The sequence below is a fragment of the Homo sapiens genome, chromosome 1 (genome assembly GCF_000001405.40).
Source record: "Homo sapiens chromosome 1, GRCh38.p14 Primary Assembly".
In the NCBI taxonomy this organism is placed as follows: Eukaryota; Metazoa; Chordata; class Mammalia; order Primates; family Hominidae; genus Homo; species Homo sapiens.
The window spans coordinates 186,828,601-186,854,579 of record NC_000001.11 but is presented as its reverse complement, the minus strand read 5'-3'; the positions used below and the strand labels follow the sequence as shown (position 1 = coordinate 186,854,579).

The 25,979-nt window shown below is 35.8% G+C and overlaps 1 protein-coding gene across 4 annotated transcripts in view, besides 1 other annotated feature; it reads right to left on the bottom strand.

The window, feature by feature from the left end:
* PLA2G4A (phospholipase A2 group IVA) overlaps positions 1-25,631 on the bottom strand; it is a 160,033-nt gene extending 134,402 nt beyond the window's left edge. For 3 of the 4 annotated variants that reach the window (NM_024420.3, NM_001311193.2, XM_047422599.1), the window contains exons 1-2: positions 25,545-25,631; positions 193-294 (exon numbers count right to left, since the gene is read on the bottom strand). In NM_024420.3, the coding sequence (NP_077734.2) occupies positions 193-225 (33 nt within the window). In that variant the 5' untranslated portion in view covers positions 226-294; positions 25,545-25,631. Of the gene's footprint in view, positions 1-192; positions 295-25,529 lie in introns of all 4 variants that reach the window. The other variant, XM_011509642.3, reaches the window with a different exon arrangement.
* Positions 5,046-5,095: a silencer, noted in NCBI's record as "silent region_1649". NCBI's record gives its function as "represses an Ori minimal core promoter by ATAC-STARR-seq in GM12878 lymphoblastoid cells {active_cell/tissue: GM12878}" and the evidence as "EXISTENCE:reporter gene assay evidence [ECO:0000049][PMID:35858748]".

Here is a 25,979-nt window from a genome sequence, read left to right as displayed (position 1 = left end):
ACAGTAATAAAATGAAGAGATAAATTATTTTTATTATGTTCCATAGCCTCTTTGTATTATATTAAGTTCATATGAGTTTAATAACAAATGCAGAAGTTGTCACAGTTTGACTTTACTAGCAACACCCGCAATATTCACAGAAACATATCAGACCCCCTCCAAGAAAGAATTCATAAACAGTGAATGACTTACTATAATGTGCTGGTAAGGATCTATAAATGACATTTTGGTTTCAATTACAGGAAATGTTTTCACACTTCAAAGTCTTCTTTGGCACTCTAGCGTCTTTAAAACCTACAAAATAAACAATCACTATTGTTAAGCTTCCTCTTGGATGCAGTTCTAAGATTTAAACAATTATGAGTATGCGTCTTAGGAAGAAAAAGTCTACCCAAGGACACTAGATAGGTTGAGTTCCCTGTGTATACGAATGGGTTATCACACATCACTTAGAGAAAAGGTAAACATGTTTGGATGATACTGTTTATTTTCCATATTTACTTGTTCAAATTTATACTGTGAATAATTATTAGGAAACTACAGGGCTTGTGTTGCTTTTCATTTGCCAAGTATTTTATGAGAAATATGTTGAAATTACGGAAACTTAAAATTATTTTTGTACTGTTTATATCATAATTAAGCCACATGTCATTGTTTTCTCAGTAGGGTCAGCAATATACAAATTCACAATAAAAAAGAAAGATATTTTCACCTTAGCTATTCGTTAGGAATTATAAAAGTACATTCATGTTGAATTTGAACTTTAGTAATGACATTTTTAAAGAAATGTTTGTTCATTTGAAGACACCAGTTTAATTTGGAAGCAGTTAAATAAAAATATTTTAATGGAAAAATACTCTCTATACTTTCCTTTTTTCTTCTACACTTACTCTGTTATTTAAAATCAAATAAAAAACTATTTAATGAATGAACATCTTTGCTATTCCATTATACCAAGTCCTTGAGATTTCATAAAACAACATACACTTGTATTTCAGCATTTTATAAGTTACATCTAATTTGGAATACCTTTTCAAATATCTTTATTATCTATCTTTAATATGTAAATTCTAAAATGTTTTTATTTCAAAATAAATCAAATTCGTTTTAAATTTTTAGTGATCTTTCTTTTTAAACATCAACTTTAAAAAAATATAAAAATGATTCCTGCTCATTGTCACAAACAAAAACTGCTGAAGTGAACAAAGAATAAAGTGTAATCACCATTTTCATTATGATGTGTATCTTTCCAGGCCTTTTCACTGCTTTTTCTTAATACTTAAAGCAATAGGAAAAGAGAGGATTTAAATTTTTTTTTAAAAAAATGGGATCTTCTAATACGCTCTTGAGTTTTTAAACTCACTTTCTTCACTATATTTGGTTGTAAAAAATATGAAGCAATATTATATGAATGGTAAAAATCACCCATAGTTCTCTATTTAAGAATTATAAAAAATAAGGATTCCCCCCGTTCTTCATTCTGGTGCATCAACCATCATTATTTGTACCAACAAGAAAAAAAATGTTTTTAAAGTAAAACGTCTATTTACTTTCATCACTTACTTCTTAAGCTCCTAAAGTACAAATACTTTTATCTTATCATGCATATTAATCAGGCTCAAAATGTATACAGCATTTTAAATCAACTTTTTAAATAAAGATGAGGCCAAACTATGAGTCTAATTTATCATGATAAATTACTATAATCTTTGTTTTGCGTTTTCTTATTTTAAACCTAATAGAAAAGTTTCCTGATAACATTAACCAATTATAAACTACTTTAGTGCTATAGTTTTATTATTCCCTCCAAAAATCATGTTGAAATTTCATTGCTAATGTAATGGTATTGGGAGGTGGGGCCTTTGAGAGGTGATTAGATGATGAGGGTTTCACCTTCATGTGTGGGTTTAATACCTTTTTAAAGGGGCTCATGGAATGGGCTCTCTCTCTTAGCCCTTTTGCCTTCTGCCATATTTTAGATACAGCCTTCATCTCCTCTGGACAATGGCTATCTTGAAAGAAAAGAATAGCCTCACCAGGCACCAAAACTGCTGGCTCCTTGGCCTTGGACTTCCCAGCTTCCAAAACTGTAAGCCAATAAATTTGTTCACTTTATTAATTACCCAGTGGGTCACATTCTGTTATAGCAGCATGAAACAGACTAAGGCACTCAGCTTTCACATTTCTGTTATTTTGATTGGACCTGGCTGCTATTGTTAGTAAGTTTCAGGATTTTATTCCAATATCATCTTTCCAGTGGAGTCTTCCCTGACTGTATTATTTAAAATTGGCAAAACCGCTGCTTTCTTGCTTTATGACCATCTAACATCCACTTATGTAGTTTTTGTTGTGTTACTATCTCTTCTCCCTTCTTCATTAGAATATAAATTCTATGAAGGCAGGTTTTTTGTGTGTTTCATTCATTGTGAAATTTCCAGTCCCTGTGTAGGCACATGTGGGCCCTTAATACATATTTGTTAAATAATGAATGAATGATAGGATATATATATACAGGTAAGAGGGATAATTTTCAAGCCCAGTTACACTAAAGCATTTTGCTCAAGTCAAGGGATGTTCATTTTCTATTTATCCATAAGTTGTATTACCCTCATCCCTCATCCTCTGTTCTACTATGCTGTCTTACACTGTTAATCAATATCGATATGAGTTTCTCCTTTATCTCTTATTATTTTTCCCTAATTAACTACATATTACACACATCTTACAAACATGATTATCCATTTACTATTATACTGTATTGTGTCTTTGATTAGGCTCTAAGTATTTTTGAAACTACATTTTATATTTATTGGATAACATTATAAAACAATACAGGCAAAACTACAATAGAGTAATTTTTACTCTGGTATTTATAGTTAAATTTATAATACAAGAAATATATACCTATATTGAGTGATATAATCCTTACGATTCAGCACTTCCCATTATCAGCATTTTCTGTGCTATTTCTATTACAACATTTTTAAAGTGATCAGCAATGACTTTCTACTAGTATGGCTGATGTTTTCGTGCCAACTAAATTCAAAGTATGAGAACTACATCCGTTCCCAAGTCAGAATCCAGCTAATACTCTAGAGCTGTGGGTGGAATATATTTTTATGGATGATATAACATAAAATCACCTGCCTCATTTTCATCTTTACCATCCATATTTCCCTCATATCATTTCCCCTCAGAAGTGATTTCTTAATATGAAGCGTTCTATGCATATGATGGTCCACATAAAGCTCCTAGGCCCAAGAGCATGAAGCCTTTAGATTGCTGCAGCAGTGGTAATTCCTGAGAGCTTATGTCCTCCCTCTCCAGAAGCTGAAATGTCTATGTAGGACAATGCTAGGACAGTACTATCAGGGATTCAAAGGATTAAGGAAAGCCAATTATTTTCTTTATTGAAGCAGCATAATTTGGTGAAAACACCATTGGTTATGGGATCTAGAAAGACCTTAATTCAAGTTCCAGTTTCATATTCTAAGACCCAGGTTACTTGCTTGTAATGTGAATAACAGTACTGTGAAAGGTACCTAGCCCATAATAAATATTCAATGCATATGATTTGCTTTTAAGATAAACATTACATAGACTTATCACTAATAACATTATATATTTACTTGAAAGATGTACTATCTGTAGTAATTATTGTTGTGACAGTAGAAAATAAGTTTTTTTTATATATTTGCCACTTAAAAATAAATATCTACAATATGCCTTGTGCTATGCAAGGTGCTTGGGAGCAAAAAAATGGTGAATCAGACAGGTGTATACCATGAAACTTTGTGGCCCTATTGACTTTATACTTGACACTCTCCAAGTGGAACCTCAAAAAGTAAACAAGATTCTGGTAGTTATTCTCACCAAAGTTTTCTGTGTTAAAAGCTGTAATAATGAGAATGGCATAGCAGAAGAGCATCTTCTGGGACTTATGGCCATTCAATTCACGAACAGTAGCTTCATAGGAGATACTTTGTTCATTCAACAAATACATCTTTACTATCTACCTAGTCTGTAGTAGGCACTGGGGAAACAATAGTATATAAGACTTCTTACCTTGTAGAAACAAAATGAGGCAATCTAGGGGTAGCAATAAATGCAGGCTAGCCTGATTTTTCATGCATGCATGTTGCTAAAAGTAGTAACACTGTTTATTATGATTAATGTCTCCAATTGGAAGGAAATCTTAAAACCTATTCTTCTGGGAAAATATCATCAATGAGTTTCTATTCCCTTAGTAGAAAAATCAGAAATCCTTAACATGGTCTACAATGGTGGCTTTTATATCTATTTACTGCAAACCAAAACGAAGAAACCTTTGCATATCACAATACAATACATAAATATATACACAGACAAATATTTAAAATATAGAAGTAAGTTTCATGTGATACTTTTGCTAAGTACAATGTACTCTGATTTCAGTCTATTACTTTTGTTTAAATGCTGGTAACAGCCCACTGAATTGATTTCATGACTCACTAACAGCAATTTGAAGAATACTAGTGCAAAAGATTGCAAAATTGAATTTCTATCTACTTCCTCAGCCCCATACCACTACTTTCCCTTTTGCTTTCTATGCTAAAGCCATACTGGTTTTCTTTCCTTCAAATGTGTCAAGCTCTTTCCCACTCAGGGCTGTAACTTACCTCTTCTATTCATTCATTTAGTCAACAAACATTTAAGGCATAACTACCATGTGTCAAACATTGTTCAAGGGACTGGAGAGGCAAAAGTGAGGAGCTAGATACATTCCCTTCCCTCTTGGAGATTCCATCTCTAGAAAGCAATCAGAAAACAAGGAATCCAAAAAATAAAAGAAACAATTGGAAATAGAGTTGTATAAAATGATGGAAACAAGTAAAATGCAGAAACAAAGAATAATTGAGGGTGAGCACTAAAAAGGAGCTAGCCATGCAGAGTGAGGAGAGAGTGGGTTTAGACTATAATGTTCCAGGCAGGCAGTATGAGGAACTGAGAGAAGACAAGTGGCTGGCGAATGGTGAGCAAACGTGAAAGTGGCTTATGATGAGGTTGGAAATTTAGGCAGTGGCAGATCATGTTGAACCTCTTAGGCAACTACTGTTTACCTAGCTAAATCTGACCCATTCTCCAGGATTCAGTCTCAACGTCATTTCCACAGAGAACCCTTCCGTGACCTTCAAAGTATATTTGGTCTGCCTGTTACTGGTTCTGTGTGTTCTCTAGACTCCTCCTTCAAGCCTTTCATTCCACTGACGCAATGTCTGTCTTTCCTGGGAGAACAAAAGAGGCATTAAGTCAGTGGCCATATTTATCTTATTAATAGAGACATCCCTAGTGCCGAATACAATGGCCCAAATATAGTAGGTTCAGAATAAAGATTTGTCCAATGGATGGATGGATATTCAAAGTAGTGCCAGGTTGATGCATAAAGAATCCACAGAATAGTGCCACACCCTCTTTTGATGTCTCTCTTTCTTATTCCTAACAATTCTTAATGTCAAATGATGTTAAATTAGCTCTCTATTTATTTAAAAAAAGCAGAACAAGTGAGATTCCAGAGGGGGTGAAATTAGTACTCAAAATGTTTAGAGGAAATCTGTTGCTGGGATCCAAAGTTTAATGTCAGCAATTTTATTTCCTCTTCTCATTTCCAGCAACTTCATTCATAACCACTCTGTTCACCACCTATTATCCACTACTGTATCTTACAGCAAGACTTGGATAGAGACTCTCCTGATATTAAATCCAAAGCAAGAAATATGCTTAAGATAGCTAACTGTCCAAGTCTAGTTTCTCTCTCTCCCTTCTCTGCCCCCTTTCTGTGTGTATGTATGTGTGTATGTGTGTGTGTGTGTGTGTGTGTAAAATCACTAGGTTAAGAACTACAAGATAACTAGAGAGTAAACAAACATGACTCATGGCATTTAATCTCAAAGCAACTTTGTCTTGTTCTTTGATTCTATTCAGGGCTAACTCTCCTTCTACCCTGATGAAATCTCAGGCAGCCTCAGAACTTTTCTGTTAACTTGGATGTGAAAGGAAGAAAAGAAAAAGGAAAAGAGAAAAAGAATTAACCCAGTCACTGCAGACATTGAAATGCCGGGTTCGTTGAGTTAAAGTCTCTCTCCTGCTCAAGGTAGAGCTTGTTGCAGGAGAAAGGGGATGAAGTCATTGACTTCTCCCCTCCCCTGCCTATGGTCAAACCCTCCCAAGCTTGATAACTCTGGTTTTTAAACCCTTATAGTTGGAAAAGGATGCAGAGAGAGCGAGAATAGAGGCAAGAAAAATATTACTTCAGCAGTACTTTTATAAGCTGGTTTTGTGATCTCTTGGCTTGGTACATGTTAAAGCTGAGTCTTTCTTTCATAGATGCTTTTTGTGGATTCTTCTGAGATTCTCTGTTTTTGAGATTTCTTCCTTGTGTTCCCTGACATGCACAAACGCATCTCTACTCCAGCTGGGGGCTTGTGTTTTTTTCCACAGCCCCAGTGCATCTTGTGGTCCACTTCCAGTTTTCGTTTTCTGAGGTTCTTTCATGTTACCAGGCAAACGCCTTGTATAGGATTTAAGATTCTTCCCAGGGTTCTCTTTAGTCCATGGACAATACTCATACATGTTTTCTTTCTTCCAACAAACCCTGAGAATGCAATTACTTCCTAAATGAAACTATTCTGCTACTTGTGTCCTTTATATTTCCCAAGTATGACAAGACACCAGCCTACTGCAGAAGACAAATGTTAAACCCTCTGATGAGCGTTCTCAGTGGTCTCTTTAAAGCCCCTCTCTTGATTGGGAATTAGTAGGCATATTCCTCTCCAGATCTCCACCCCAAGGGAAGAGGGGCTGTACTCACAGCAGTGCTCTCCAAAACAACAACAAAACTCTTCTGAAGCTCTTCCCACATCTCTACTATTTCAATGCTTTTATAACTGTGAAGTGGGTAAGTTTTATATATTATATAAATGTCCTTGTCCATCTGCTTTCTTTAAAACACAAAGAGTAGGCTGTTTCACTATCCATTTTAGTAGTGCATGTCTTAAATCTTATGGCTTAAGGTCTTGGCCAAAGCTTCTACTTTAAAGTCCAATACATAGGTGAACCAGCTTACAAAATGGCAGAACGAGGAATGTGGGAAATCCTCTCCCAGAAAAACAAACACATTGACAAAACCGGGCAGAATTATTGCAAACAACTATAGACACACACACACACACACACACACACACACGTATGAAATAATAGCACAAAAGAAAGGAGATGGAATGGAGGTATACTGGACCAAGGAAATGACACCAGATCATAATTGAACCTACAGAAAGAAATACAGGGTACCAGTAAATAAGCTCTATCACATTTTCAAACAGCAGACCAGTTATTTACCATTTCTCTGAAGCCTTTTCTATTTAACTGTAACAGTAAATAGGTAGGTTAATATAAAATAGTCTATAAATATTATATTGTTCAAATATAAATATATATGTAGATTAATATAAAATATTCTATAAACATTTCCTTTTCTTCTCTCAAATTCTTTAAAAGATATAGCATTTACATAGCAATAAATTATAATCCTATCTAATGTATACAACAATAATTGCAAAAAGGAGGAGCGGTCAGGGACTAGAACTATACTGCAGAAAAGTTTTTGTATTTTACTGGAATTAAGACAGTATTGATATGAAGCGGACTATAATAAATTAAGGCATAGAGTTTAATTCCTAGAGCAACCACTAAGAAAATAACTCAAAAATATAGTTAAAATATCAATGAAGGAATTAAAATGGGCCACGACAAAATAGCTATTTAATATAAGGAACAGAAGAATTTAAAAAAAGAGACATGGAAAACAGCAAAATGGAAGATGAACATCCAACCATGCTTCCAATAACATTAAATGTGAGCGATGTAACATTCTAATAAAAAAGTAGAGGTTGTCACACCGGATAAAATTGAATGTATATAAAAGACTAATGGAATCCAAATAAGGTTTGTCGTTTAATTAATAGCACTGTACCAATGTCAGTTTCCTGGTGTTGATAATGTACTGTGGTTGTCAGATGTCACACTAGGGAAAGCTAAATGAAGGGTACATGAGAGCCCTGTAATATTTTTGTAATTTCTTATCTTAAATTATTTCAAAATAAAGTTTATTTTAAAAATGTAATACATATGAACAGATCTAATTTATATTTATAAATTTTATTCCACAGTTATGTTCAAGGGAAGAAACAAAGACCTCCTATGAAGAAATTACTGAAATAGAATCACTTCCTTCAGGATAAAAATCACTAGCCATTATTGTCAGGCAGTGGCTGCATGTCCAATTCCAGTTAGGAATAGGCAGCCGTCCTTTCTTTTTTCTCTCTGTAACTGTTAATAGTAGCAGCAGATATTTTAGGTTTCTGCAAAATTAAGGCATTTCTGTCCAACTAACCACATGAAACAGTAGGAATTTTTTGTCCCAGAATTAGCTCAGTTCTGGAAACCTTACTGCAACTAGTTGGCACAACCACTCTCATGAATACTCATAAAATAGCAGGGTTTCTATTCCTTTGTTTCTTATAACTAAGCTAAATAACCAGTCTTAGTGAGTGTACAAAGTCTCTTAAGTCTGAAGTAAGAGATGTGAAACTCACAGGGTTTTTTTCTTCCTTTCTTTTTTTCCTTTCCCTGCCCTGTAATTAGAAACTTTCAGAACATGAATGAGAGGGAAATTTGGATAGACTTTTCAACAGATACTTCCCGATGCAATGTAACTGTTGGCATTCAATGAAAGTTTAATAGTATGTGGTCTTTCCAAAACGTTTAGTCATGTTGTCAGGGCAAGATGGACTTCTCAGGAAAAGTGAACAGAAACAAAAACCCAGACTAGAGTGTTTTGTCACTTCTCTCTCTGTGTACAGTGATATGACAAGGGGAAAAAGAGGGGATATTATTAGAGTTGTGGCATGTGGCGGGAAGAGGGATAGGAATGCAAAAGATTCTTTTCTCTTTCCCTCCAACTCATTGTATAGACGCGTGGAGATATTAAAAGGTTGAGCATTTAAGTGGCAGCAACTTCTTGACTGCAGCCAGAATGACCCAAGTTCTAGCCTGTCTCCTCCTTTCTCTATCTGTGGGATCCTGACCCTCAGTTTCCTTGTCTGTACGTAGGGAAAATCGCCCCTAATCCTCACAGAGACAGTGGGAGGATGAAATAAGAAAATATATGTAAATCACCAAGCACAGTACCTAGAAGGCCATAAATGTACAAAATAATCATTATTATTATCATTGTTTATGAAACTGGTGATGATCCCCCTCAAACTGCCTCAACTCATGCAAGTCACAAGTATTTAATTCTATAGAGAGTTTTTGTTTGTTTGTTTGTTTTGTTTTTTTGATGGAGTCTCACTCTGTCACCCAGGATGGAGTGTAGTGCAATCTTGGCTCACTGCAACCTCCGCCTCCTGGGTTCAAGCAATTCTGGGGCCTCAGCCTCCCGACTAGCATGGACTACAGGCACCCACCATCATGCTCAGCTAATTTTTGTATTTTTAGTAGACATGGGTTTTCACCATGTTGGCCAGGCTGATCTCAAACTCCTGACCTCAAGTGATCCACCTGCCTTGGCCTCCCAAAGTTGGGGGATTACAGTGTGATCAGGTGTGGCCTTGGCCTCCCAAAGTGAGGGGATTACAGGTGTGAGCCACTGCACCTGGCCTCTATAGAGATTTCTAAGAAATTCAAGTAGGCAAATTTATTGAGCACCTTTTATAAACACCAAGTACATTTTCATATACAACAATAAATTTTTTTTATTATACTTTAAGTTTTAGGGTACATGTGCACAACGTGCAGATTTGTTAAATATGTATACATGTGCCATGTTGGTGTGCTGCACCCATTAACTCGTCATTTAACATTAGGTATATCTCCTAATGCTATCCCTCCCTGCTCCCCCAACAGGGATCTAGAACTAGAAATACCATTTGACCCAGCCATCCCATTACTGGGTATATACCTGAAGGATAACAATAAATTTTTAATAGAAACACTGATTTTTTGATCCATTAACATTTTTAAAAGTAGAACACATTTGGACACTAACTTGTCCGCTGCCAAATTCAAAGCTTTCTCCACTATACTGGATATGGAAGCATATTCTAAAAGCAAAGAGAGCATTATATTACTATGTTTCCATCATCATCATTCTTATAATGATATATAGTTACTAAGACATCACTAAAGTTTTAAGCTTTTAAGTGAATTTGATGGTGCTTTTTTTGTAAACTAAGGCTATACAAAGAGTTTGATATTGCCAACCGGCACAAAGGAATAAAGAAACAATAGGAATTCAGATGGGTAAATGAGATGCTTTATATTAAAAATGTCTCTCAAACCATACTCTCAGTTTACGACAGGAACACCTCCCTGTTCCCAAGGAAATGTAACAGCATGCCTCCAGACACAAAGGCACAGAATAATTAACTATGTCTGTTTCTTGAGCCTGGAACCCAATGGTATGGAACTTGCCACTAAGTCCCACAGTAGTAACAGGTGGTGCCATATGGCTGATATCCATACTGTTCCTTTTAAGATTTCCCTCTCCATTTGTATTCCTAAGTCACAGCTTCTTAATCTATCAAATTTGTATTCTTCAAATCTCATTATAATTACATAGACAAGTATATATGAAATACCTACTAGAGTTTCAGAGAAGAGAGAGATTCCAGTGGTTTAAAGTAGAAACGGCTTCAGAGAAAATGGTAACTGATCTGACATTTGAAAACGTGAAAGAGCTTAGATCTATAGTAAGAGGAAGTGGAAACATTTCCTCTAGGAAAAGGCCATGACGTTGGAGATACTCCATCCTCCTCAGGCTCTCAACTGGTGCTTTCCTTACCCACACCTCTGCAGGATCATGTCCGCCTGTCATTCAGGGTTCTGCATAAATTCACTCTCTAAAGTCAGTCATCTCTTAATTTATCTACTAGATTAGGACCCTTGTACCTTTCCTTGAAATCTCTTATCACAATATTGTATACTAGACTACCATTATACACGTGTCAGTCTTCCATAGCTGTGAGCAGCACAAAGGAAGTTCTGTCTTCTCCCTGTATTCCTGTTGGGCCCGGAGTGATAATTCAATTACTATTGACTGAAGGATGAATAAGCAAACTGGGGGATTTGCATGATGTACTGGAGAAAACTGTCTAGATCATAAATGTGCTCTTGTCTTAAGAAACAATCAAAAGGAAGTAGATTACATTTATAGAATCTAGAATGTGAAACTGGAATATATCTTAGCAGTTGCTAATATGAACACTTAATTTTGAAAATCCACACTTGTTAAACATTTCCCAAGTACAAGATACTTTAAGTGATTTATATATACCATCTCATTTAATCTTTATAACAAGATAGGGATTATTATCACTACTTTTGAGATTAAAAAAAACAGATTTGGAAAGGTAAGTAATTTGTTTAACTGACAACACAAACTAAGGTAGACTCCCACAACCAATCTCTACAAAAGAATAACTGTCTCAAGAAGAATAAAAAAGTTCCCAGGTCATCTGGGTTAACATGGGCTGAGCTGGCCCTAGAATCCCCTTTCTATGTCATTTTTTCACTCTACAAAAGACCCTGAAGCACAGGCAGAGTTTCTGAGAAATTATACAATAAGCAATAGAGTTATTCGAGTCTTAGCAGGGAGGTGGCATGATGAAAGTGGCACTTTGTGTTAGTTTACGAGGGTTGCCATAACAAAGTATCACAGACCGAGTGGCTTAAACAATGGGAATTTATTTTCTTACAGTTCTGGAGGTTGGAAGTCCAAGATCAAAGTTTGGCAGCTTTGGTTTCTCCTGAGACCTCTCTCCTGGGCTTGCAGATAGCTGCTTTTCGCTGTGTCCTCACATGCTCTTTCCCCTGTGCACAGAGTGCCTGGTGTCTGTGTGTGTTCAAATTCCCTCTTCTTTTAAGGACACTAGTCAAATTGGATTAGGACATGCCCTACCAGCCTCCTTTCAATTTAATGAGGACTTATCCCCAAATACTTTTACATTCTGAGGTACTGGGATTTAGGTTCCAATGTATGCATTTGGAGGGGGCATATTTCAGCCCGTAACAGGTTTTAATGACATAAACACAGCAGTTAAACAAAGCAGCATACAATTGTTAGTGGAGAAAAGTGGTGCTGTAGGAGGGAGGGAGAAAATCGGCCAGAGAAGTCCAGATGTGATATAAGACATGATATGCAGCCGGGCGCAGTGGCTCACACCTGTAATCCTAGCCCTTTGGGAGGCCAAAGCAGGTGAATTGTCTGAGCTCAGGAATTTGAGACCAGCCTGGGCAACACTGTGAAACCCTGTCTCTACTAAAATACAAAAAATTAGCCAGGTGTGGTGGTGGGTGTCTGTAACCTCAGCTATTCAGGAGGCTGAGGCAGGAGAATTGCTTGAAACCGGGAGGCGGAGGTTGCAGTGAGCCGAGATCACGCCACTGCCCTTCAGCTTGGGCAACAGAGAGAGACTCCATCTCAAAAAAAAAAAAAAAAAGATATGATATGCATCTCAACTAGGATGGTGAAGATTATAAAGGAGAGAGCATAGCTCCTTTAAGATGGAGCAGCTACCCTCATCTGATTATTTAAAAAGCTCCCCGCAACCCCTCACCAACATATACATACACACATTCTACATAAACGAAGCACAAGGATAACGTCTAACCACTTCACATTTGGGAAGTACTAATCCAGATAAACCTGTCCATCTTAAGGATCAGGAAACTGGCCAGCCCAGTTTCACATAATGCATTACAAACAAAGCAAGAATGTCTCCTCACTCCCAAGCCAGTGTTCTAGTTTTCATTCCTTGACCACTCTGGTTTGCTGTTATTTTCCATTCTTTCACCTCTTGGTGGTCAAAAACAAGTGGCCATTCTGGCCATATTTTAAGGTCAAGAAATTTTGGAGAAGGAGGAAATATTCATAATCACCACCTAGAAAGTATTTCATTGTACAAATTTGTAAGCTGAGGCTTTAAGATATAAATAAACCTCACCAAGTTACCCAGTAAGGGGAACAGCTGAAACTGAACATACCTCTTCACTTTCAACCAGGTACTCTTTCTTTATACCCTACTGGCATCCTCCCTGCCCCACCCTGCCCCCCACATGCACTGGGGCTAAAAAGGAAATATAGCCAAAATTAAAATAACATATATATAATTTTAGTTTGGCTAAAATCTTAAGTTACCAAGTTACTGTTTGGAAGGACAGAGTAGATCCAAGATATGAATTTGAGGAAAACAAATAACTGAATTTCTCCTTGGGATTGGTCCAATAAAGCTCAAAAAGAATCACTTTCATCTTTTGTAATTTTCTAGGTTTGAATCATAGTTATAAATTGTTTACTTTCAAATATTAGATTGTTTAAAAAATTCCTCTTCCCACACAGACCATTATGAAATAATATCACATTGATAGGTGTTAAATATATGATGTGCATTTTCAGAAAATATAGAAGAATAATGTTCTGACTTCTACTTAAAAGAGACTGACAATGGTGATGTACTTACTGTTAACAGGTTATAAATATATGCAACAAGGTGGCACAAAATGCTAGGAAAAGAAGTGTGTTTTGACAACAGCATTACTTCTACATCTTTTCTCTCTAGACTGGACATTTTGCAAATATGCTCCCCAAGGTAGTATTTGTGTTTTGTTGAGGGTTCCACTCCCTCTTTAATTGCTGCCATTGCTGCCTTTTTTAAGTGACAGAGTCAGTCAAGTTTTCCACAGCATGGAAAGCCATATCTTTTTTCTAAGGTAAACAGTTCAGGGAAAACACTCAGGAAAACCATCAAACTGGCTTAAATGTTTAATGAGAGCCATTTTATTACTGGATAAAATTATCAGCATTTATAGCTTGCTTTGCTTTTCAATGAAAGCAATGACTATTTCAGGCAGCCGGTGAGATTGATCTGACAGTTTAAAATATGGAATTACTATGATCTTTAAGAGGAATAAATTGATGATAAACTATATCATCAGGAATTGCGGAAGCACAGAAGGGTGTACACCTGCTTCCAGGTGTTACTGTAAAGTTCGGCCACTAAATACGAGACCAGCATTCTACAGTTCCTGAACTGGGTAACATGTAATAGGAATTCAGGGTTACCATTTTCTTCTCAGATCATAAGAAGTTTTAGAAATCTTATTTTAGACACTGTGATGGCAATTCACTTTTGAAAAGAACAAGAAACCTAGTCTTTTGCAGGATTAAGAACTCTGTAAATGGAGTGTATGCACTTGAAGGGAGTAGACTTGGGGGTTCTTAATCTTTTTTGTGCCATGGACCCCTTTGGCAATCTAGTGAAGGCTAGGGACCCCTTTATAGAGTATAACATTTTAAAATATATGAAATAAAATATCAGTTTATAAAGAAAGCTAATTACTGCCCAGGCATGGTGGTGGGCACCTGTAATCCCACCTACTCAGGGGATTACAGGAGAGGCAGAATTGCTTGAACTTGGGAGGCAGAGGTTGCAGTGAGCCAAGATTGCACCACTGTGCTTCAGCCTGGGCAACAGAATGAGACTCCATCTCAAAAAAAAAAAAAAAAAAAAAAAAAAAAGAAGTCAATTATGTTGAAATACATGTAGCCATGACAGTCTGCAGACCCTTTAAATAATATTTATGTGTGCGTTGGAGTGTTGCAGCACATTTTTCCCCTTCTACTTCTGTGGGGTACTCCAACATAGTTCCAAAGTTTCATGTAAAATTTTTGAGGAGAGAGGAAATTACATCACTATAAAGAGTAAGATGATGATAGAAAATCTTAAGTTCTTTTTATACTACCTACTTTTGCTAGCACCATAATGAACATGTAGCACATCCTGAAAATTTAGGGGTTACATACAATAAACTCAGGTTGAAATGAACTGAAAGTGCTGTCATTTGCTTCAAAATGAAATTTATATTGCCTCTACCTTTGAGTAGCAAGCTGGAGAACTGTGCCAAAAATACATTAGTAAAATCAATAAGCAGGTTTCAGTTGAGGTTCTGCGGATGAGATATAATGCCTCAATGGGTTCTTTGGAAAATACGAAATTAACAAAAACAATGTTATACTCTCCCCTTCATTTTGCCAATGAGAAATTTGACAGGAGGAAGTTAGACAACTGCAGCTAAACCATAGCCTGACAAATATGGACAGGACCAGGAATAAAGTGCAGAATGACTTTCCACTTCAGGACATGTCTCCGGGAGGTAGGGAAAAAAGGAGGAAAAAGAAGCAGCTACTTAGTGTCAGGCAGAGAAGTAGATGAAGGGCACAGCCAGAAACAAACTGAAATCCATCTGACCACAAAAAACACTCTCTCTTCTCACCATGCTGCCTGACTTGACCCGCACAGACTCACTGCTTCCACCCATGGAGGAGCCTGGCCTTCATTTGTGTAAAACTAAATCATTTTTATGTGAAGAGGATTTATGAGAGATGGCTAATGGATTTTTAAATTTTAAAATGTTTTTTTAACTTTGAGGAAATATGAGTCAATAGTTCAATAATATTATTTTGGTCGTTGAAAAGATATTTTGATTATGGTAACCAGCTGTTCTCTAAAACTGTAAGAATTGGAAAAGAAAAGGAAGTGACTTTTAGATGCAAAATGAAAGATTTATGTCAGGGTGAAGAAATACATCCTGAGAGCAGGGCTGTGAAAGATCCTTTTTTTGGATGGTCTATTATTATCACAAAATGTTTTACACATCTTTACATTGTGGAATTCTAATGATTCGAAGTCTATAAACCCTTATCTTAGGGAGCACAAAGACCAAGGAGTATGCTACAACTCAGAAACAAGTACTTAGCTAGGAGTCCAATAAAAGCAGGGAGGCAAACAGTTAATCATTCAGAACTTCAAAGGACAACAGCAACAAGTCTACCAACTAGAACATGAAGAAAAAAAAGGTTCCAGAATGATGGCTCCTGGAACAGGTAACTGGGCTTCACTGAAGTGTACAAAGAGGCCTAGCAACTGGCTAGGTAATGAATCCAAGAGTTGGGAAAGAACAAAGGCTAAATTCCCACCTACTAGAGCTGGAAATCAGCCAATTTTGGACTACTTCCTAGTAGTCACTAATTACCTTAGATAAAGGAACTCTGTTCTACAGACTCATTCATTTTTATGAATTTTTGTTTAGATTTGGTTTTGGTTTGGGTTGTTTTTTATTTTGTTTTGCTTAGTGCACTGGTTATCCATTTTATGGATTTTTCTTTCTGTCTTTAAAAACAATTTTTCTTTCTGTCTTTAAAAACTCCCACTCTAGAGAAACCATCTAGCTTCTTTGCTCTTAGCATTTAAACATGTTGCAGAAAAACAACATACCCTGGAAGGCTAGTTTTAATTTAAGTCCATATTCTCAAAACCCACAGAGGTTCTCTACACTACAAGACATCTTTCTAAATTTCTTTGGTGGACTTGTATTCCCACCGGAAAAAGTCACTTTATTCCCTTCTCTCACTCAAGTTTCTCACCCCACCCCAACTCCCACTCTTAGCAGGCGACCTCATCTTCCTTCACTGAGAAAGCAGAAAGCACCAGAGGGAAGTTTCTCATCTTCCCACCATCAAATCTGCGTATTTCCCTGCAGGTGCACTTGGGTTCCCCTTCTCCCTGCCACAAAGGAGGCAATGTTCCTCCTACTGTTACAGACCTGGCACCACCATGGCTCTCTGGATGCAAAATCCCTCTCCTCAAGGACTTTATTTTTGATGGTCACGTCTCTCTTTCCTGAATCATCAAATTTTACTTTCCTTTATTTTCTTTTTTTCTTTTCTTTTTCTTTTTTTTTTTTTTTTGAGACGGAGTCTCTCTCTGTCGCCCAGGCTGGAGTGCAGTGGCGCGATCTCGGCTCACTGCAAGCTCCGCCTCCTGGGTTCACGCCATTCTCCTGCCTCAGCCTTCCAAGTAGCTGGGACTACAGGCGCCCGCCACCACGCCCGGCTAATTTTTTGTATTTTTTTTTTTTTAGTACAGATGGGGTTTCACCGTGTGAGCCAGGATGGTCTTGATCTCCTGACCTCGTGATCCGCCTGCCTCGGCCTCCCAAAGTGCTGTGATTACAGGAGTGAGCCACTGAGCCTGGCCCAAATTTTACTTTCAACTGGATAATCTAATTGGCAAACTTGTTACAGTCTGTCTGTCGACTCCATATTCCTTTTCCCTGCTATGTCTCCATTTGGTTGCTGTGTTTCACTGACAGACTTCTCTGAAGGGTTATTTGCTTACCCTGTATCCAGGAGCCAGCTATCCTCATCACGCATTCCTCCCATCCCATTTGTAAATTCCTTCTTCCTTCTTCTGTCTACTCCCACCACTCCATTGAACCTGCACTAATCAAGATCATTCATGATCTCCAAATTTCCAAATGTAGTAATCACTTTTCCGTCGTCATCTTATTCAACCTCTTTCCTCTAGAACCACTTTCCCTCCTTTGCTCCCACAACATCACCCTAATACCTGGTTTTCCATCTAGTTTCTTAGTTGCTTCTTTGCAGGCTCATTAACGAATGCCACTCTCTGCCTGGAACTCTAGCGTGAGCCTTGCCATTCTCACTCTACTTACCGCCTCCCGTAGATGGCTTTTTATCCGTCACATCTGTGCTTCAATTCTATGCCTCAGAGAGCCCTTCCCATTCTCCGCCTTTGCATGTTATTCTCTATCATTGAAGCCCATTTGCTTTCTTTTATAATTTATTATCTGTTTGTTTGTATACTTATTATCTGTCTCCACTAAGACGGAATGAACTATACCTGCTTTATTCACCCAGGTATGCCCTAAATGTAGCACAGTACCTAGCATGTAGCTGTTATTAATTAAAACTGACTGAATTAGCGAAGGAATAAATGCATACTGCTCAGTGACCAACAATTCCTGATTGACATTAACATCTGCATTTCTTGACATAGGAGGCAAAATTGGTAAGTGAAAAAGAAGAGTAGATATTATCTAAATAGCTTCATACAATACCTGTTCTTTTTCTAAGTATTAAAAAATTGCATTTTCCTACTCCTACTACTTTTCTAAGTATACTATATGTATTAATAAAATGGTATATAGAAATTATTTTTTCACAGAAACTTAAAATTTATATGAGAGCATCCTTTTCATTGTGATGATAAAAAGTGCTTGAAGATTCTTGTTATCTGTTTAAATTACATCTTAGATTGACAATTGGCTTGGTTGATTAATATCTTATGTACATATTAATATATAATAACAATCAATATTATTATTAAGGTATATTATATGTAATATATGGTGTATTGAATAACTAATGATTTACCTGAATTAATTCATATTGATTATTAATTATATTAATGCATAGGCTATATATTAATACTGGGGTATTAATTCATATAAATAGCTTATTAATACTTATTAATACATAATATATTGATCAACCAAATCAAATTTGTCAACCTAAAACATATTTTAAACAGATTGTAACAATTTCTGCAAACAGTGAATGAGTGTCACAAATTTGATTCTTTCTTTTATTGCTTTTCATTGACAACAAAGGCATCATTACAGAAAGTAATAAAGGTGAGAGGGAAAAAATGCATGTAAATATTGTGAAGCTTTATATATATAAAATGTAAATCTCTGGTTGTCACCAGCTCAAAAATTAAGTACCAAGTAATAGATTATAAGTAAGCATCCAACAGATTTGCAATTAAATCTTTAATTTACCAAGAAGCCTCTTTTAAATTAGAATCGCTGCTGTGACAAATCTTTCTAAAATGGGTTAGTGGCATTGTCTTCTAAGAACCAGGGATATAACAGTATTTTAAAGTTATTATCTGAACATGTATTACCATTGATCATTGAAAGTGAACTACAGAAATTTCCTAGTGTTCTCTCTTTGAGATCTAAGTTCATGACGTCAGCAAATTTAAAATTCATCCACCTCTTCTTCATGGCAGTTGAATGAAAAGAAAGTTGATAACCTGTTTGAGGTTTGTGGTAGACACAACAGTGGCTAATGGATATTAAGAAATCATAATGATAGACGCAGCAGTCTATACAGAATGATCCCATAACTGTGTGCATCTTTAGACACTTTTCCCTGATTGCTTTTCAATAAATTCTTACATAATTGCTCCAAATTACTTTTTTCAATACTTTCATAATATTGCATCAAATATATGTTTTAAAAAGTCCACAAAATGAATTGCCTTTTTGTTTCAAAACTTAAAACACCATTTATCTGCCTCGAGACTATCCTAGGCAGACACTGTCTCTTCTTATAGATCCAAGAATTCTGCAAAAATACTTTTTTCCATAAGGGGTGAACATCCCAGTTTACTGCCTGTGTACTGCATTTAACTTGCTTATCCTGTCAAAACTGTGGGCATAAAAGTATGGGGCAAATAAGAAGTGTGTCAATTTACTGACTGAAATTCAGAAGCCATGTGCTGACCTAATGTTTCTAGTGGCACAGTTGTATCCAGCAGTAAAACCTGACCTAGTATGCATTATTTATTACCACATCATAGTATGTATACTAAGTCAAGCGTATAACTAATGTTGGGTTTTACCCCTGAGAAGGAGTATCTGCTTTATCATAAGCTACTGAATTATTTGGAAAGGTAAAATAATAATTATTTTGTCCAAATGATAAATCCAAGGTCAGAGTAACCATTTTGATACAAATGCTTTATGCCAACTGCCAGGTTTAATAAGAGCCAGAAAGAGCCATAGGTTCTGTAGGTTATACTTAGAAAATTCTAAGAAAATTCTCTACGACCAACCTGAAAGCAAAACATTTGGCAAAATCAGCACTTTTTACATAACTCATGAAATGTGTTTATTTTGTATTTTTAGATAAAATGTAATATATTTTATTTTCTTAAAGTAGTATACATACTACTGTACAAAGTACTATGTAGTTCCAAAATTGCACAACCTCCCCTATTACGTCAATCAGTAATCAAGTTATAAGGGCAGAACGATTGAGTTATTATGGAAACACGCACCAGGAGAGTGGACTTCCTGGGCCTTCTCCAGTAATTTTTCTGATGTTAACTCCAATAGAAAGAGTGTGACAACCTCAAAGAATACACATTAAAACTAAAAATATAAACCAATATATTTAAACATTTAAATACATCAAAATGGAATCATAAGGCAGACATTAAAAAAAAGAAAAAAACGTTTGACTTTTCAATAGCTCTTTTTCACATCTGTAAAATGTGGATAGTCATACCTGTACTGCTAACTTACACAGTTTTGTGGAAATAAACAAAGTTCATAACCAATCCCTTTATCAACCACAAAGCCTGTGAAAATAAAAAAATACTGGGCCTCTGATTTTTTTTTCAAACTAGATAGTGAGAAAACAGCTTGTAAATTAAATAACAAAACAAAAACCTAAGCAAGTATAAGCTGAGTATCATAAATACATGAGTTTTCTGTACTGTAGAAGAATACATATTAATGACATTTGTTTACTAATTCAAAGCACACTGTTACCTAAAATACCGATTTTTTTCCTGAAGACTCCAGAAGTCAAGCAAATGAAGAGGAAGATTGGGGAAAAGGAAGCAGTTGATTCACAACTGCATGTGCCAAAAAAGGAGTGGGAAGAAAAATGAGAGCCAATTTGGTCTATTATCTTTAATGGAGAGTGATGGCTAAACTCTGACACTGATAACTTTCAGCGTCAGGTGTCTGCTGAGTTTCTCTAAGCTCATTTGAATTCATTTAATAAGTGATTAGACTGGTAGGGTAGCTTTACAAATCTGCTTATGGTGAGCATTGAGTTGTTTATGCTTATTTCATTTTTTGTATAAGGAAAGGTAAACTGTATTTTCAAGGTGTGTTGTAAGATTTGCACTAAGAATCACAAAAAGAATCAAAAAACTTAGAATCACATAGCAAAAGTAGCAAATACATGTAATGCATCCTTTATTAACAGGCAGGTAATGGTATCAGAGGACCAGAATAACCTCTGCTCTATTTACTGTCTTCTTTGGAAAGAACTCCAGAACCAACCTTTTGGTTCCCCCAACTATTTATTGCCCTAATAGTCAAGGGGTAGAAGACAAAGAGTTGGCCAGAACTGAAATTCATTTTCTCTAAATTGGTTGTTCACAACCAATAATATTATTTTCCTCACAAAACTTTTCTTTTTAATAAGAAACAAAATCTTGCTCTATCACCCAGGCATGAGTGCGGTGTGTGGTCAAAGCTCACTGCAGCCTCAAACTCCTGTGTTCAAATGATCCCCCTGCCTCAGCCTCCCAAATTGCTGGATTACAGGTGCATGCCACCATATCCAGCTGATTTTTTCAAAATTTTTAATAAGATTTTAATTAATCTCACTATGTTGACCAGGCTGGTCTCAAACTCTTGGGCTCAAGCCTGCCAAAGTGTTGGGATTACAGGTGTAAGCCACTGCACCCAGCCTTACAAAACTTGAACAGTCATCACGCCACCCTTAGTCCTAACAATATCTTCTTTACATGATTCAGGCCAGGATGTCTCTGGTGCTGGGTTTTGGCCATCATCTCTGAACCCTCCAGGTTTCCCATCATTTGTAAACTATTAGTCTATGAGAATAAAAAATAATTTGCTCTCATTTTTCTATGTATTCTCACCCATTTTTAAGGGAAAGGTTTCAGGAAACACTAAAAATAACCCTCCAAAAATGAGAAAAACATTGTTTATAGAATTTCTACTTCCAGTTCAAAATTTCATCTATATTGTTAAGACTCTTAATATTCTTCAAAATTACTGAGGACCCCAAAAGTGCTATGATTATGTAAGTTATATCCGTTAATATCTATCATATTTGAAATTGAAAGAGAAAAATTTTTTAAATCACATTGAAAGAGACAATTCACAAACATAGACATATAAGTGGCCACTATGAAAATTGCTCAACTTTGTTCAACAAAGAAATGTAAATTTAAACAAGATACTATTTTCGTATATCAATTATCCAAGTTGTTGGATTTGTTGTCATTTGCTCTGTTTGATGATGGCACCCAGTATTGACATAGAAAACTCTACTCTTTTATATTGCTCATAAATGAATACCATATTCCTCAAGAGCAAAATGTCAAAAATAATCACTAGCATTCCATGAGATTTCGCTAAATATTTTAAAGAATCCTCAAAATACCCAACTATTATTATTTCTATTTTACAATTGAGAAGACAACATTTTAAGGAGATAAAGTAATTGGATTATCATCTCACAACTTGTAAGTAATAAAATTTTTTTTAGAACCTAGAAAATAAACTTTAAGAATCTACCATAAGGAAATAAACAAAAATGTATACTAACATATATAAAAAAGGTCCTAGATGAAATATTATTTATAATAGTGGAAAACTATTATAAATCTAAATATCCAACAATTATTTATAATAGTGGAAAACTAATCTATCTAAATATCCAACAAGATATAATTGGCCAGTACAGCCTATATACAGATGAAAAATTTCATATAGTAAGAACCATACTCTTTTGCTCATGGATAGATTGCCATTACTTGCATTACACACAGTAGGGACTTAATAATATTTGTTAAATATGTGAATACAAAGTAATGCATGATTATTAAAAAAAACATGTTTTAACAATGCATCTCATGAATGAGGGAGAAGCATGTTACAAAACAGCATGAACAGTGTGATCACAATTTTGTAAAACTACATGTATGTATAGAAACATATCTAGACATATAAACATGTATATACATGAACTTCTTGTCTGTCTCTTTGCTGATGCATACTGGGTACTCAATAGATATTTGTTGATTGAATTAATGATTGAATTACATTTTAAAAGTACCTTGGGGGAAATAATAGGTAATATTTTCTTTTTCTTCCTTGCAATTTTCTATATTTAATGAAATTTTAAGCAGTGAGTGTGATTTATCTTTATAATAAACAATAGTGTTATAAAAACTAATCATTCTGGGAAATGTCATTAGGAATTTTGGAATAAAAGTAGTAAATATAGACACCCCACAATCCAATAAAAAATAACTTGCATCTGATTTTCTTATTATGTTTCACTTACTGCATTCGGCAATAAAAGCAACAGATGTTACAGAAAAATGTCAAGCGTAATATTGTACAGTTAATTATTATTGGGGTTGAGTCTAGAACCTAGGTCACCTGGTTTCAGGCAAGCAGTTTTTTCCATTATACCAAGTTGCTTGGAGTTCTAGAATACCAATGAATAAATGACTATGTGGGTGCTACAATATCCACTGTTAGTTCCTTACTTATAAGTAAAATGATTTTATAATTAATCATTTTATATTATCAGAAAACTCCAAAGTTTTAAGAAATACTGCATTTTCATGTAATATGAATTGTCTTTGGGGATTTGTGAACTTCTTAAAGGTGTTTTTAAATTTGTGTGTGTTGGAATGGCATAATGTGCATTATTCTAGGGAGGGGTCCATACCTGTCACAAGATTATAAAAGTGTCTTTGATGGAACAAAAACAAAAGAAAGAAAAAGAAAAGAAAGAAAAAGTAAGAAAGAAAGAAAAAGAAAGAAAGAAAGAAAGAAAGAAAGAAAGAAAGAAAGAAAGAAAGAAAGAAAGAAAGAAAGCAAGCAAGCAAGCAAGCAAGCTATACAATCTGGAGCAAGAAGGAGGAAAAAACTGATGGTAAATAAAAGCAAACAAGATGAATGGGAACCACAACTAATTCTGTCTTCCTCTTTTTTATTCCTGGAACATAATTTTAATATGTAGATGATTCGATTTTATGACTGCTTTCTAAGTACCAGCACTAGAAAAGATAATGGGTTAAAAACATAAGCCAAATAACCTCTATGGAATGAACATTTTCAGTTGCTAAAAATCTATTTAATAATTTTTCTTTTCCTAATTAAATGTAAATGCAAAAATGCAAAACACTTCAGAATAACTTACTTTTTTTTTTTTTTTTTTTTTTTTGAGACAGAGCTTCGCTGTTTTCGCTCAGGCAGGAGTGCAATGGCGCGATCTTGGCTCACTGCAACCTCCACCTCCTGGGTTCAAGCGATTCTCATGCCTCAGCCTCCCAAGTAGCTGGGATTACAGGCACCTGCCACCACGTCCGGCTAGTTTTTCTATTTTTAGTAGAGATGGGGTTTCACCACGTTGGCCAGGCTGGTCTCGAACTCCTGCCCTCAAGTGATCCACCCGCCTCGGCCTCCCAAAGTGCTGGTATTACGGGCATGAGCCACTGCGCCCAGCCAGAATAACTTACTTTTTAAAAATATGTTAAAAAGATGCAATGTCTTATCTCAAAAAATATGCTTCCCCTAAGGGAAGTTTGTAAAACTCCTTTGAGCAAATGCACATTAAACACTTCTCTATGCATTTCACAATTATTGCTTAATTTAAAATTTAACTCTTCCGGAGCTAATGAAAGAAGTAAATACCTGTTTCTTATCCCAACCTCTAACTTGATTGGCAAGGTGTAGGAACCTGTAGAATGTAACTTTAAAATTCTTAACAGAGCTTGTTTCACTACAGTCCTCTACAAATATCCCTTGAGCCACAATTCTAAATTTAAACAACAAAGAGAAACAAAAATACAAATCTTCTTTGAACTCAAATTATATTGGCAAATATAACTTTAGAATTGACACCCATTCAGACAGTACGCCTCTAATACTCTCCATCTGCCTTAGCTGAATAAATGCTGACATCATCAACCCATATGAGGAGTATTTCTTGTTCTGGTTTTGGAGGTGAATTTATTTTTAAGACTAAAATGATTATAAATTGTAGGAGACAGATACATTCATCCACTGATACTTTAAAATCAAATACCTTTTTTTTCTGTTTTTTTTGGAAACAAAATTACTGAAATATCCACACTCAAAATTTAACTATGTAATTTGATCAAATCTTTTCTAGTATCTAGTTTTGAGATTTTTTTTTTCTCTTGGCAAGCCAAGTAACTTAGGGGAAGGGTGGATCATCAGAACACCAGTCCGTTTACAGTTAATTTTTCAATAATCCTCTTTCTTTCGCATAATTCTGCAAAATATTGACTAGCCAGGAAAGCGTCCCATAAGTAACAAAAATGACCAATTTTTAGAAATTAAAAGTTAAGTGAGTCAACAAAGTCTCTCGCTAAAGATCGCTAGGGCTGTCAAACAGCACAGCATGCTGCTGCTCAAGTTTGGGGATCAGTAACCATTGGGTGTCATCACGTGGAACGCTAATAAGCGCCACCTCACCGCCGTTTTGAATGCTAACTTTCTGGGATTCCAACCCAAAGAAACACCTTAATCTTTGACTCCACAGTGCATTTAGATCCAGGAAGGCAAATCTGCGTGGGTTTGAAGAAAATTGAGGTCCCTAATCTGTGTTTCACTTCAAAAGGCAGAGGACATGCTGACTTTTTAAAGCAGCGAGGTTTCCCCTCCGTCCTTTCTTCCTTCCAAGTAAACTACCAAGTAAAAGCTAAGGAGGGTGGGAGAGAGAAGTGGAGCAGAGGAAGAATAAATATATTGCTTACAGTTCCCAGAGTTACCTGAGAATCTTCAGGCTCCTCAATGCCTCTAGCTTTCAGTCAGGATCCTTTTTCAGCTCCGGACTTAGAGAAAGTCTTATCCTGAGTAGGAGGGGCTAAAATGTGGGCTGGTCTCCTTGCGCTTTTGCAGATGTTTTAAGGTGGAATTAAAGGGGAAGAGGGAGAACGCTCTCTTCTCATAGAAGCTAATATTGTAAATGTAAATGCTTAGTTATTAGAACCAGGAGTTTGAAGTCAGAAAATATGCTTAAATAATATGTAAATTAATCAGTCCTAAATTCCATGAGTGCTGTTGTGGATTTCTGTGTGTGTGATGTGTGTGTGTGTGTGTGTGTGTGTGCGTGCGCGCGTCTGAAATTGCTACTTGTCCTTAAGTAGTAACTACTTCCTCCTTTTTTCCAAAGGAGAACAAAATTGAAAAGACAGTGAATAACC